The sequence below is a fragment of the Homo sapiens genome, chromosome 7 (genome assembly GCF_000001405.40).
Source record: "Homo sapiens chromosome 7, GRCh38.p14 Primary Assembly".
Classification (NCBI taxonomy): domain Eukaryota; kingdom Metazoa; phylum Chordata; class Mammalia; order Primates; family Hominidae; genus Homo; species Homo sapiens.
This window is the reverse complement of record NC_000007.14, coordinates 10,446,002-10,461,784: the sequence shown is the minus strand read 5'-3', so window position 1 is coordinate 10,461,784 and position 15,783 is coordinate 10,446,002. Positions and strand designations below refer to the sequence as shown.

General features: G+C 34.1%; 1 long non-coding RNA gene and 1 pseudogene across 1 annotated transcript in view; one reads left to right on the top strand and one right to left on the bottom strand.

The window, feature by feature from the left end:
• MGC4859 (uncharacterized LOC79150) overlaps window positions 1-11,965 on the top strand; it is a 330,125-nt gene extending 318,160 nt beyond the window's left edge. The window contains exon 3 of the long non-coding RNA NR_147499.1: window positions 9,007-11,965. This is a non-coding gene — a long non-coding RNA (uncharacterized LOC79150). The remainder of the gene's footprint in view (window positions 1-9,006) is intronic.
• On the bottom strand, window positions 8,288-10,549 carry HSPA8P8 (heat shock protein family A (Hsp70) member 8 pseudogene 8; annotated as a pseudogene).
• Window positions 11,966-15,783: the final 3,818 nt, after the last annotated feature.

The following is a 15,783-nucleotide window of genomic DNA, read 5'->3' as shown; positions in this document are numbered from 1 at the left end:
CTTTCTTCAATAATACCTTAACAGCTTGCTATAAATTTTTACTGTATAAACTTTTAATTTTGATCATCCTTTTGACTGCTTTGTAATGACATGGTTCAAAACACAAATCGTACAGCTGTACAAAAATATTTCTATCTTCATAATCTTATTCTGCAAGCTTTTATCTATTTTAAATTTATTGTATTTTTAAAAATTTACTTTCTAAATGTTTTTGTTAAAAACTAAGACATAAACACACACACATTAGGTTAATCCTCCACATGGTTAGGATTATTAAGATGTCACTAGGCGATTGGAATTTTTCAGCTTCATTATAATCATACAGGAACCTTACCACATATGCTCTCTGTAGTTGACTGAAACGTCGGCATGCAGTGCACGACTGTGCTAATTTATGTTCCCAACAGTGTAAAAGGGTTCACTTTTCTCCATGTCCTCACTTATACTTATCTGTCTTTTTGATAACAGCCATTCTGACGGGTGTGAGGTGATATCTTACTGTGCTTTTCATTTGCATTTCCCTAATGATTAACAATTTTGAACATTTTTTCATATATCTGTTGGCCATATCTTCTTTTGAAAAGTCTATTCATATCCTTTTCTCATTTTTAAATTAGAATAATTATTTTCTTTCTACAGAGTAATTTGAGTTTTTAAATATATTTTGAATATTAACCCCTCAACAAACATCTGGCTTGCAAATATTTTCTCCCAATCCATAGGCTGTCTCTTCACTCTGTTGTTTTCCCTGTTGTGCAGAAACTTTTTATTTGAGATTTTATTTTTATGTAATCCCATTTGTCTATTTTTACTTTTTTTTTTTTTGTCTGCGCTTTGGGGGTCAAATCTAAGAAAGTCATAACTTATTTGTTTTTCCTTATGTTCTTTTAGTAGTCTCACAGTTTCAGGTCTTACGTTTAAGTCTAATCCATTTTGAGTTGATTTTTGTATATGGTGTGAGATAAGAGTCCAATTTAATTCTTCTGCATGTGGATATTCAGTTTTCAAACAACATTTACTGAAGAAACTGTCCTTTTTTCATTGTGTTTTCTTGGCACTTTGGCAAAAATCAATTGACTAGGCAAGCATGGGCTCATCTTTGGACTCTCGACTCTGTTCCATTGGTCAATGGGTCTATTTTTATGCCACCACCATGCTGTTTTAATTACTATCTGTTTATGATAGTATGTTTATGTTGAAGACAGTTAGTGTGATGTCCCCAGCTTTGTTCTTTTTTACTTACCTGTTTGGGTTTTTTTGGTGGTTCCATATGAATTTTAGATTTTTTTTTTTTATTTCTGTGAAAAATGACATTCAAATTTTAATACGAATTGCATTGAACCTGTAGATTGCTTCTGGTCGTATGAACATTCATTCAAATTGTCTATTTATTCTCGAGTTATATAAAGTCTTTATACATTCTAGATACAAATCCCTTGTCAAATGTGTGTATCACAAATATATTCATCCAACCTATGGCTTAAAAATTTAGTTTTTAAATGGTGTTTTTGATAAACTTTTGAATTTCATGAAATATAGTTTACAAATGTTTTCCTTTATTCTTATTACTTTTCTTTATATCATCTAAGAGGTTGTGAAGATATTCTCTCTCTCTCTGTGTGTGTGTGTTTGTGTGTGTGTGATTTAGGAGCATTATACTTTTAGCTTTCACATTTAGTTTGATAGCCCATATGAAATAATTTTTGTGCAGGGTTTATGAGATATAGGTCTAGCTTTTTTTTCCAGTTTATATATTAAGATTTCTATTTGTTGAAAAGATTTTTCTTTCTCTGTTAAGCTACTTTGGTATATTTGTTGAAAAGGCCATATAAGCATTTGCTTATTTTTGTTCTCCTGAGCTCTTCACTTATTCTTATATTAATATTGTACTGCTAAAACTGCTGTAGCTTATCGTAAGCCTTAAAGTCAGGTATTGTAAATCTTTTAATTTTGTTCTTTCTCAAGATAAGTTTGGCTATTGTGAATCTTCTGCATTACCATATAAACTTTAAAATCAACTTGTCAGTTTCTACAAAAAAGCTGCCAAGAACACACAATGGAAAAAGGACAATATTGTCAATAAATGGTGTTGGAAAACCTGGAAATCCATATGCAAAGGAATGGAAGTGGACCCTTATCTCACACTATATACAAAAATTAACTCAAAATGAATTAAAGACTTAATAGACAGCATTGAACCTATATGTCAATTTGGTAATTGATATCTTAATAATATTGAGTTTTCTGTTTTAGATACATGGCACATCATTTAACTAAGGTGTTTAATTTTTCTCAGCAATGTTTTGTTGCTGTCAGGTTAGTACTTTTACTAATTTTAATTAAATTTATTATTATTAGATTTTGATTATTCTGATTTTTAGTTTATCTATTTTTCTCATACATAGAAACATGACTTATTTTTGTTTATTGACCTTTTATTATACAATCTTGTTAAATTTACTCATTAGTTCTAGTAGTTTTCTTAATTTTTAAGATTTCTTAGTATTCCATGTACATTATCATGTTATCTGTGAATAAAGACAGTTTTATATTTTCCTTGTGCCTCCAGATGATTTTACTTTGTTTTCTTTCTATTCACATTGGCTTGGACCTCCAGTACAATTTTGTGTTGCGGGAAGTCACGTACTCTGAACGGAGGGACTGGCTGAAACTGTGGCAGAAGAACATAAATTGTGAAGATTTCATGGACATTTATTAGCTCCCCAAATTAATACTTTTATAATTTCTTGCGCCTGTCTTTACTGCAGTCTCTGAACATAAATTGTGAAGATTTCATGGACATTTATCACTTCCCCAGTCAATATTCTTGTGATTTCCTATGCCTGTCTTTACTTTAATCTCTTAATCCCATCATCTTCGCAGGTAAGGAGGATGTATGTCACCTCAAGACCCTGTGATGATTGTGTTAACTGCACAAATTGTTTGTAGAGCATGTGTGTTTGAACAATATCAAATCTGGGCACCTTAAGAACAGGATAACAGCGATGTTCAGGGAACAAGAGAGATAACCTTAAAGTCTGGCTGCCTGTGGGCTGGGCGGAACAGAGCCATATTTCTCTTCTTTCAAAAGCAAATAGGAGAAATAACGCTGAATTCTTTTTCTCAGCAAGGAAAAGCCCTGAGAAAGAGAATGCGTGCCTAGTGGTAGGCCTCTAAAATGGCTGCTCTGGGGACGTCTGTCTTTAATGGTTGTGGATAAGGGATGAAATAAGCCCCAGTCTCCCATAGCGCTCCCAGGCTTATTAGGACAAGGAAATTCCCACCTAATAAATTTTGGTCAGACCAGTTGTCTGCTCTCAAACCCTGTCTCCTGATAAGATGTTATCAGTGACAATGCATGCCTGAAACTTCATTAGCAATTTTAATTTCGCCCTGGTCCTGTGATCTCACTCTGCCTCCATTTGCCTTGTAATGTCTTATTACCTTGAAAAGCATGTGATCTCTGTGACCCACACCCTATTCGTACACTCCCTCCCCTTTTGAAAATCACTAATAAAAAGTTGCTGGTTTTGCGGCTTTGGGGGCATCACAGAACCTGCCGACATGTGATGTCTCCCCCGGACATCCAGCTTTAAAATTTCTCTCTTTTTTACCCTTTCCCTTTATTTCTCAGACTGGCTGACACTTAGGGAAAATAGAAAAGAACCTACGTGAATTATCAGGGGCGGGTTCCCCCGATAATTTTGACTGAAGTAGAGTCAGTCAAATATTCTTGACTTGGTTCCAATTTTAAAGAAGAAACATTCAGTTTCTCACCAATAAGTGTAATATTTGTAGCTTTCTAAATAAATGCTGTGTATCAGTTTAAGGAAGTATTCTATTCCTTGGTTGCTGAAGCTGTCATAAATAAGAATTGAATTATATTAAATATTTTTTGATTATATGATGAACATATAATTTTGCCTTTTTAATGTGAAACACTAGATTAAATTAATTTTCAAAATGATTGCCTAATTTTGCATATTGGGATACAATCTAGGCAATCATGATTCTTTTGGTTTATTGCTGGATTCAATTTGCTAATATTTTGTTAAGGGTTTTTGGCTATGTTCATAAGGAGTATTTATTTTCTTGCCTTGTGCTTTTCCTGGCTTAGGTATGGGTTAGGTTACTTCATAAAATGATTTGGGAAATGTCCCCATCTCCTTTATATCACGAAACATTTTGCACAATATTAGCAGGATATTTTCCTTAAGTTTTGCTAGAATTTAACAGTGTAGTCATTTATTTGACTGAATTTTCTTTATGAGAAGTATATTTTAACTACAAATTAAAATTTTTAACAGATATAGAACTATATAGGGCTATTCAGATTTTCCATTTATTTTGCCTAAGTATTGATAAATTAGTGTCTTATAAGGAATTTGTCCACTTCATTAAAATTCTAAAATGTATTGGCATAAAGTTGTTTATAATATTCTCTTATATTTCCTTTGAGGTCTCCTGTATCTGTAGCTTTGTCCTGTCTCTCTTTCTTCCATTGTTGACATGAGCAGTCTGTATTTTTTTTCCTATTTTTTTTCTTGATAAGTCTATCTAGGTGCATATTAATTATATTGTGGCTGTCAGAACACCAACTTTAGATTTTATTAATTTTTTTCTGAACTGTTTTAAAATTTTATTGATTTCCAATACTATCTCCTATACTTCTTTTCTTCTACTTACTTTGAGATCAATTTACTCTACTTTTCTACATTCTTAAGATAAATGTTTTTTGGTCCCTTATTTTAAATCCTTCTTCCTTGCTAATATATGCATCAAAAGCTATAAATTTTCCTGTAATTATATCCCACAAATTTTGATATATGGTGTTATTATTATTTAGTTCAAAATATTTTCTAATTTTGCCATAATTAATTCTTTGATTCATGGATTATTTTTAAGTGTGCTCTTTAACTTAAAACTATTTGGGAATTTCTCACATATTTCTATTAAATTGGGGATTGCTCAAGTTTTACTTTGTTGTTGATTTTTAATTTGTTCCTGTTTTAAGGAATATATTCTTTATGATCTCAGATCGTTAAAATGAATTTAGACTTTTTAATGGCCTGGCATCTAGTTTTTCCTGGTAAACATTCCATGTGCACTTGAAAAGAATTCCATGGAGATTGTAGTTTTTAAGTATAATTTACCATAGCTATATATCTATATGTATCAATTTGGTTATATTGGTTGATAGTGTTTACATTTTCTCTATCCTTGCTTATTTTCTTTCTACTCCTAAATCAGTTAATATTGAGAGAATTATCAATAGAAAAGTTAAAATTTCCTGCAATTTTTGGGAATTTTATATATTTTCTTAGGATCAGTCAGCTTCTCTTTTATGTATTTTGAAAATCTGTCATTTGGTGCAAGCATATTTATGTCTTCTTAATAAAATGACCTTTTATTACTATAAAATGTCCCTCATTATCTTTGGTAATATTTCTTATCTTGAAGTCTTTGTCTGATACTAACATAGGCACTCAAGACTTGATTTAAGTGTTTGCATGTTATATTTTGTCCATTATTTCATTTTTACTATTTGTGCTTTTATACTTATATGTATCTCTTGTAAACAGTATGCAAATAATGTTATTTTATTTTATCTAGTCTGACAATCTCTGTCTTTTAATTAGTATGTTTAGTCCATTTATGTTTAATGTAATTGTTAATCTGGCTAGGTTTAACTTGCTATTTCATTTCTAGTTCTTCAATTTTGGTTTTGTTCTCTTTCCTCCTCTTATACTGCCTTGTTTTGTATTAGCTGAGTATTTTAAAAATACTCAATTGTATCTATTTACTTTATTGGCTAAATATGCTAAATTCCTTTATTGTATCATCTCAGTAGCTGCTTTTAGCACTATTATATGTATTCTTAATTTATTTTAGTCTACCATAAATATGTGACAGTATGGTTTCATTGTTTTTATACATTTTACTTCTACATATGATATAAATAATGTAACATTTTGTTTTTACTTTGCTTAGTCAATTAACTTTTAATAAAAAAGTATTTTCTATATATTCTTCCCTATTTATGCATTAACTTCTCTGTTTTTTTTTTAGCCAAAAACCTTCCATCAATTTTACCTGTAATGTAATTTTGCTGGTGATATAATCAATAATTTTCTTCCCTCTCTACATGTGTAGTAACTTTTTGTTATTGCTGAACATTGTGGTTGCTACATTGTTGAGAATCTGAGTTTTGTAATCTTAATTTAAAAAGTGTTAAATTTTATCATGACAGTTAATTACTGGTACATCAGCTTTAACTTTTCACTCTTGTTTTTCAACTTTGTTAGGATGGGTCTGGAGTAGTTTTTACTTCTAAGGTATAACCTGTGTGGCTTTCAATAGACTATCCAGGATACTAGGTGAGGTCTCTCAACTCTGGCTTGTAAGAGCTCCTATGTATCTTAACGTTGCTCAGCCTCTTAAATATATGTTTAGCTTACAGACCTCAAATTATTTTCTGCCAGGCCTTGTGGATTCTTGCTGTATGCATGCAAAACCTAATATTTAACAAAAGACTTATAGAGATCCCTAAGAAGAATTTTAGAACTGCTTCTCTGCATAATTTTCTTATCTCTGGCACCATGCCCTACAATAGTCAGCTGCCTAAGTAGTCTCATCCTCAACTCTCTGCCTCTTCATTTCACTGAAATTTCCATACTCTGCTTGGGCTTTATCTCTTTGGATGATGATTTAGGAAATATTCTCAACTGAATGGAGTAGTCACTGGGCTCACTTGTTTCTCTTTTGCAAAGATCAACATCCTGTGCTATCTGTTGTACCAAAACTAAAAACAATTGCCTTATATGTTTTGTGCAGCTTTACATTTGTATATGGCAAGAAGGTCATGATCTCAGTTGCTCTGTTATGATTAAAGCTGAAAATCAAGCTAAAATGTTTTTGAAAAAAAATCAGTTGCAGACCATAAGGTCTTTCTCCCAATGCAATACAGTAAATATTTACTTACTGTCAATAGATTCATAGAAAGTGCAACTGTAAGCAAAACAGTGTATAATGATACCAATTTTAACATAGGCTAATTTATATATACGAGTTAAAGTGAGGAGAGGGGCTAAGATAGAAGCAGTAAACAATTAATTCAAAGAATGACAGATAGCAATAAGTTAATGACCTACATATCTGGATACGGAGATGGAGAAAAAGGGGGTGGAATGGGATGGGGATGATTAGATTCTGAGAACATATTTTAGATAGAGATGAAAGTGAAGGTCTTTCTAACAAAGGAGAAATTTCAACTGAGATAGGAACAATGAAAAGGAACTTGTCCTGCAGAGAAAAGGGTGAAGAACACTCTTGATAGAGAAAACAGCATGTCCAAATGTGAGGAAGAGAGAAATGTTTGGCACATATGAGAAAATATGCTTAACAGGAGTAAGGAAGAAGTCAATAGGATTGGCGAAATCTATAATTTCAGATCAAATTATGTTATGTCAATTTTAAAAATATTTTTCAAATTAACACTAAAGAAACTTAGAAGGGTTTTAATCAGATGCATGCAGGATTTATTAACATTTTAAAGAATTACTTCTGCCACTATGTGGAAAGCAAGCTACAGAAAAGTCAGAACAGAAAAAATAGAAAAGAGTATTTTGAAGCTATTTAAAAATTGATAGGGGCTGGGCACAATGGCTCATGCTTATAAACCCAGCACTTTGGGAGGCCAAGGAGAGAGAATGGCTTGAAGCCAGGGGGTGGAGACCAGCATGGGCAACATAGTGAGACCCTGTCTCTACAATAAATAAATCGATAAATAAATAGCATATAGATAGATAGTGAGCATGGTGGCACATACCTGTAGTCTCAGCTACTTGGGAGACAGAGGCAGGAGGATCGCTTAAACCCAGGAATTCCAGGCTCCAGTAAGCTATGATCACAGCACTCCACTCCAGCCTGGGCTACAGAGTGAGACTCTGTCTCAAATAAAAACAAGGGAGATAGATTATAATTTCATGTCTATTTTAGATAACTGATAACATGTATTGGTGGATTATGGGAAACAGGTAAATCCATAGTGATTTCTAGCTGTAAGTACTTGGATGCATTGTGACTGTGTTTAGGGATATGGAAAATCTTTGGGACAGAGGAGGTTTGAAGTAACAGGGCAGAAAATCAGGGGCTTAGTTTTGAGCCAAAATTTGTCCAATTGTAATCTTCATTTTATCATTTTAGTTTGAAAGTTGAATCGTTTTTGATAACTTTGGTATAATCAAAGTTATTGATAATCGAATGAAATCATTTTTAAGGTTTCTTTTTTTATGGTGCCAATTTTAAATAGTTTTATTTAAGACATTGCATTTTCCACTTACAATACAGTGTTTATAAAGTGCAATGTTATTTCCTTCCCCTGTGCATATGTTCCATATTCAAGTATTGAGAATGCCCAGTAACTTACTATAGCAGCTTAACTTTTTAAAACTGCCACAGAATTTGCTACAAATTTAGGTCCTTCAAATGTTTTAAATGTGTGGAACAATGCTACATCTATACTTGGGTTGGCTTAATCAACCTCTTCGATGGTGGGCCCTAAGGAAGCACCACCAGAAGGAGGAGCTCCACCAACAGGGAATCCCCCAGGCATTCTTCCTGGCATGCCTTCTGCACTCTGGTACAGCTTGGTGATGATTGGGTTGCAAAGTTCCTCCAGCTCTTTCTGCTGATGTTCAAATTCTTCCTTCTTGGCAGTCCGATTCTTATTGTGCCAGTTGATAATTTCATTACACCTGTCCAGAATCTTCTGTTTGTCCTCATCATTAATCTTGTCTTGAAGTTTCTCATCTTCGACAGTTGCTTTCATGTTGAATGCATAGGACTCAAGTGAATTCTTGGATGACGCCTTGTCCCTCTGCTTCTCATCTTCAGCTTTTTAATTCTCAGCTTCCTGGACCATACGTTCAATGTCTTCCTTGCTCAAATGGCCCTTATTATTAGTGATAGTAATTTTATTCTCTTTTCCTGTACTTTTGTCCACAGCAGAGACACTGAGGATACCATTGGCATCAATGTCAAAAGTGACTTCAATCTGAGGAACACCTTGGGGTTCAGGAGGTATGCCCGTGAATTCAAACTTGCCAAGCAGGTTGTTATCCTTGGACATGGCACGCTCACCTTCATAAACCTGAATAAGCACACCAGGCTGGTTGTCAGAATAGGTAATGAAGGTCTGTGTCTGCTTGGTAGGAATGGTGGTATTACAGTTGATGAGGATGGTCATGACTCCACTAGCAGTTTCAATACCAAGGGAAAGAGGAGTGACGTCCAAGAGCAGCAAATCTTGAACATTTTCAGACTTGTCTCCAGACAGGATGGCTGCCTGGACAGCCATAAGCAACAGCTTCATCATGGCTGATGCTCTTATTCAGTTCTTTTCCATTGAAGAAGTCTTGGAGAAGCTTCTGAATCTTGGGGATACTAATAGAACCACCAACCAGGACAATATCATGAATTTGTGACTTGTCTGGTTTGGCATCTCGAAGGGCTTTCTCTACTGGGTCCAGGGTGCCACAGAACAGGTCAGCATTCAATTCTTCAAACTGGGCACAGGTAATGGAGGTATAGAAGTCAATTCCTACATAGAGAGAATCGATCTCAATACTGACTTGGGTGCTGGAAGAGAGAGTACGCTTAGCATGTTCACAAGCAGTACGGAGGCATCTTACAGCTCTCTTGCTCTCACTGATGTCCTTCTTATGCTTGCGCTTGAGCTCAGCAATAAAATGGTTGACCATTCGGTTGTCAAAATCTTCTCCACCCAAGTGGTTGTCTCTGGCTGTAGACTTGACCTCAAAGATTCCATCCTCAATAGTGAGGATTGACACACCGAAAGTGCCACCCCCCAGGTCAAAGATAAGCACGTTTCTTTGTGCTCCAACCTTTTTGTCTGAACTTTTGTAAACAATAGCAGCAACAGTTGGCTCATTAATAATTCTAAGTACATTGAGACCAGCAATAGTTCCAGCATCTTTGGTAACCTGAAACTGAGAGTCATTAAAGTAAGCTGGCACTGTGACCACAGCACTGGTAACAGTCTTCCCAAGGTAGGCTTCTGCAATTTCCTTCATCTTTGTCAGAACAATAGAGGATACCTCCTCTGGATAGAAGCTTTTGGTCTCTCCCTTGTATTCTACTTGGACCTGGGGCCTGTCAGCATCATTCACTACCATGAAGGGCCAATGCTTCATATCAGACTGGACAACAGCATCATCAAATCTGCGTCCAATCAGACGTTTGGCATCAAAAACTGTGTTGGTGGGGTTCATTGCAACTTGATGCTTTGCGGCATCACCAATCAACTGTTTAGTGTCCATAAAGGCGACATAGCTTGGAGTGGTTCAGTTTCCCTGATCATTGGCAATTATCTCTACTTTTCCGTGCTGGAAAACACCCACGTAAGAGTAGGTGGTGCTAAGATCAATACCAACTGCAGGTCCCTTGGACATGGTTGCTGGCATGTAGCCCTGGCTCCGATAAAGAAGAAAGCCACAGGAACCCGAGAGCTGCAGGCGAGTTCAATGAGCTAGGATTTCTTAATATATATGTGATAATGTTTTAACTTTGATAATTGACTTTTATAATGACTTGAGTAGTCTTAAATTGTCTTTCATTTAAAACTTTTGTTCTTTTAAAAAAGCACCAAGTCTATGCTACTAACAAAAATTTCCTTTTACCATGTAGACTACTTGGGATGAAAATAACTTTTCATAATTACTATCATGAAGGGAGGAGAGTGGAAAGTTGCCAGATACTGCAGCAAGATATAAAGATGAATTCTTCAAATGAGGAAGCAAACTTTATCAAGTGGTTGAATTTCTTAGATCACCTTGTTGGACATAATTTCTTGTAAACAAATTATGCAGTCAGTGTCACGTTCATGCAGAGTCTTTTAACTTAAAATTCATTACAGGTAACACTTTCAAAAAGAAGTTCTGTAGTCTTGCATACTATTTACCACACCATATTTACTGCACTTAGCTTCATTATGGAGGAAAGAACAATAGTAAACTATCAATAACTGAGACAATAATCATATTCATTAGTGATGAGTCAAACAGGTTATACTTATTTTTTAAAATAAAAACATTTGTAAATTTTTCTCTACGTTTTTAAAACAACAGTTTAACAATAGCAGTTCTGTTATTTTAGCTTTAATTTTTTGTACCAACAGTTAATTTGCTCATGCCCAAAGATTTACATTTATAAAAAATGTTCTGCCATGCAAGTTTTAAGAGATTTTTGAATTGTTGACAATACTCAGCACAGTCACATGTCTCTCATAAATCCACCCAGACTTAAGAACCAATTTTCAGTGCAACTCATGAAGACAAAGAATAGCCATTATAAACACATTGTTGAAAATCATTTAAAAAATCATTAAATTTTTTTGCATTTAATATTTTTTCAGCTTTCTTAAGATATAATTAACAAAAATTGTATATATTCAAGTTGTGTTATGTGAGGTTTTGATACATGTATACATAGTAAAATAATTACCACAGTTAAGCTAATTATACTATACATAGTAAAATAATTACCACAATCAAGCTAATTAATATATTTATTATCACACATAATTCTTTTTCTTGTTGTGGTGAGAATACTTAAGATCTACTCTCTTAGAAAATTTCAGGTATATAATACATTATTATTAACCATAGTTGCCATGCTATACATTAGGGCTCCAGAACTTATTCATTTCATAACTTCAAGTTATAAAAGTCACGATAAAAGTTTGTGCCTTTTGCAAGTTTGTACCTTTTGATGAACATCTTCCCATATCTTCCCATTTTCCTCAGTCCCCTGCACCTGGAAACCACCCTTCTAAACTGTTTATATGAGTTCACCTTTTTTCAGATTCCACATATAAGTGAGATCATGCAGTGCTTGTGTTTCTGTGTCTGGCTTATTTCACTTAGCATAAAGTCTTCCAAGTTCATTCATGTTGTCATAAATGGATTTCCTTTTTTAAGGCTTAATAATATTCCATTGTATATATATTCCATACATATGTGTGTGTGTGTGTGTGTATGTATATATATATATATATATATATATATATATATATATATATATATATATGTATTTCATCTGAATTTCATCTGATGACTTACACTTAGGTTGTTTCCAAATCTTGGCAATTGTGTTGCAGTGAAATGAGAATCCAGATGCATCTTTGAGATGGTTTTGTTTCCTTTGGATATATGTTCAGAAGCCAGAAGTGAGATTGCTGGATCATATGAGTTTTATTTTTAATTTTTTGAGGGATTCGTATACTGTGTTCCATTATTACTGTATAATTTACATGTCCACTGACAATGTACATGGGTTTCCTTTACTCCTCATCTTTGTCAACATCTGTTATCTTTTGACTTCTTGGTAATAGCCATCCTAACAGGTGTGAGGTGATAGCTCATTGTGGTTTTGATTGACGTTACCCTTATGATTAGTGATGCTGAACACTTTTAAAAATATCTGTTTGCCATTCGTATGTCCTTTTTAGAAAAATGTTTATTCAGATCCTTTTCTCACAGATTTTTCAATCTGTGCCTTGTTTTATTTTTCATTATTGAGTTGTATGAGTTCTTTTTGTATTTCGGATATTAACTCCTTATGGATACATGGCTTACAAATATTTTCTCTCATTCCATAGTTTGCCTTTTGATTTTGCTGATTATTTCCTCTGCTATGAAGAAACATTTTTGTTTCATGCGGTGCAATTGTTTATTTTTGCTTTTGCTGCTTGTGCTCTGAAAAATTATTGTAGAGACCAATGAATATCAAAGAACTTTTCTCTTTTTTTTTAGGAGCTTCTCAGTTTTAGGTATTGCATTTAAGTCTTCGATTGATTTTAAGTTGATTTTTGTGTGTGGTTTAAGAGAAAGGTTCAGTTTCATTTATTTTGTTTTTGCATGTTGATATCCAGTGTTTGGAAAAACCATTTACTAAAGAGACTGCCTTTTCCTCATCTTGTATTCTTAGTCTTTTGTCACAAATTAGTTGACCATACCTGTGTGGGTTTATTTCTGGGGTACATGTGCAGAACATGCAGGTTTGTTACATAGGTATACATGTGTTTGCTGCACCCATCAGCCATCACCTACATTAGATATTTCTCCTAACGCTATCCCTCCCCTAGCATCCCACCCCCTGACAGGTCCTGGTATGTGATGTTCCTCTCCCTGTGTCTATGTGTTCTCACTGTTCAGCTCCCACTTATGAGTGAGAACATGCAGTCTTTGGTTTTCTGTTCCTGTGTTAGTTTGGTGAGATTGATGGTTTCCAGCTTCATCCATGTCCCTGAAAAGGACATGAACTCATCCTTTTTTTATGGCTGCATAGTATTCCATGGTATATATGTGCCACATTTTCTCTATCCAGTCTATCATTGATGGGATTTTGGGTTGGTTCCAAGTCTTTGCAATTGTGAATAGTGCTGCAGTAAACATACATGTGCATGTGTCTTTATAGCAGAATGATTTATAATCCTTTGGGTGTATACTCAGTAATGGGATTGCTGGGTCACATGGTATTTCTGGTTCTCGATCCTTGAGGAATTGCCATACTGTCTTCCGCAGTGGTTGCACTAATTTACATTCCCACCAACAGTATAAAAGCATTCCTACTTCTCCACATCCTCTCCAGCATCTGTTGTTTCCTGAGTTTTTAATGATCACCATTCTAACTGCCATGAGATGGTATCTCATTGCTGTTTTGATTTGTTTTTCTCTAATGACCAGTGATGATGAGCTTTTTTTCATATGTTTGTTGGCTGCATAAATGTCTTCTTTTGAGAAGTGTCTGTTCATATCCTTCGCCCACTTTTTGATGGGGTTTTTTTTTTTTTTCTTGTAAATTTGTTTAAGTTCCTTGTAGATTCTGGATATTAGCCCTTTGTCAGATGGGTAGATTGCAACAATTTTCTCCCATTCTGTAGGTTGCCTGTTCACTCTGCTGGTAGTTTCTTTTGCTGTGCAGAAGCTCTTTCATTTAATTAGACCCCATTTGTCAATTTTGGCTTTTGTTGCCATTGCTTTTGGTGTTTTAGTCATGAAGTCTTTGCCCATGCCTAGGTCCTGAATTGTATTGCCTAGGTTTTCTTCTAGGGTTTTTATGGTTTTAGATCTTATGTTTTAAGTCTTTAATCCATCTTGAGTTAATTTTTGTATAAGGTGTAAGGAAGGGGTCCAGTTTCAGTTTTCTGCATACAGCTAGGCAGTTTTCCCAACACCATTTATTAAGTAGGGAATCATTTCCCCACTGCTTGTTTTGTCAGGTTTGTGAAAGATCAGATAATTGTAGATGTGTGGTGTTATTTCTGAGGTCTCTGGTCTGTTCCATTGGTTTATATATCTGTTTTGGTAGCAGTACCATGTTGTTTTGGTTATTTTAGCCTTGTAGTATAGTTTGAAGGCAGGTAGCGTGATGCCTCCAGCTTTGTTTCTTTTGCTTAGGATTGTCTTGGGTACATGGGCTCTTTTTTGGTTCCATATGAAATTTAAAGTAGTTTTTGCTAATTCCGTGAAGAAAGTCAATGGTAGCTTGATGGGAATAGCATTGAGTCTATAAATTACTTTGGGCAGTATGGCCATTTTCATGATATTGATTCTTCCTATCCATAAGCATGGAATGTTTTGATTATTCTAGCCTTTTAATATAATTTGAAATCAGGAGATGCCTGCAGTTTCATTCTTCTTACTCAAGACTACATTAGCTATTTAGGGTCTTTTGTAGTTCTATATAAATTTTAGGGTAGTCTTTTTTTATTTTTGTGAAAAATTCATTGTAATTTTGATGAGATTTGCACTGAATTTGTAGGTCACTTCAGGCAGAATGGATAATTTGGCAATATTGATTCCATTTATTTATGTTTTGTTTAATTATTTTATCAGACTTTTATAATTTTCAGTGTAACAGATCTTTCACTTCCTTGGCTAAATTTATTCTTAGATATTTATTCTTTTTGATGCCTTTGGAAATAGGATTGTTTTCTTAATTTCTGTTTTGAGTAGTTGTTAGAGTATTAAAATTCTGACTTTTATGTTGATTTTTCATGCTGTAACTGAATTCATTTATTAGTTTTAACAGTTTTTTGTGGAGTCTTTGTGCATATAATGTACTCTCAAAGAGAAGTAACTTTACTTCTTTCCTTCTTTTATTTATCCCTCTGACTCTTTAATTGCATGCCTTTTGTTTCTTTTTCTTGCTGAATTGCTCTGGCTAGGACTTCCAGAATTATGTTGAATAGCAGTGGAAAGAGTGGGCATTCTTATCTTGTTTCTGATCTTAATGGAAAAGCTTATAGTGGGCTTGTGGTATATGCCCTTTAGTATGTTGAGGAACGTTCCTTTTATACCTAATTTGTGGAGAGTTTTTATTATTAAAGGATGTTGAATATTATGAAATGCTTTTTCTGCATCTATTGAGATGATCATATTATTTTTGTCTTTCATTTTGTTAATGTGTTGTATCACATTAATTGAATGCATATGTTGAACCATCCCTACATCACAAGGATAAATCCCACTTGATCATGGTGTATGATTCTTTTAATATTCTTTTACTTTAGATTTGCTAGTATTTGGGGAGGAGATATTTGCATTTGTGTTGATCAGGGATATTGGCTTGAATTTTGTTTTCTTGTAGTGTTCTTGCCTGGCTTTGGTATCAAGGTAATGCTGGCCTCATAAGATGATTTTGAAAATTTTTCTCCTCTTCAATTTTTTGGAAGAGTTTGAGAAGTATTGGTATTAGTTT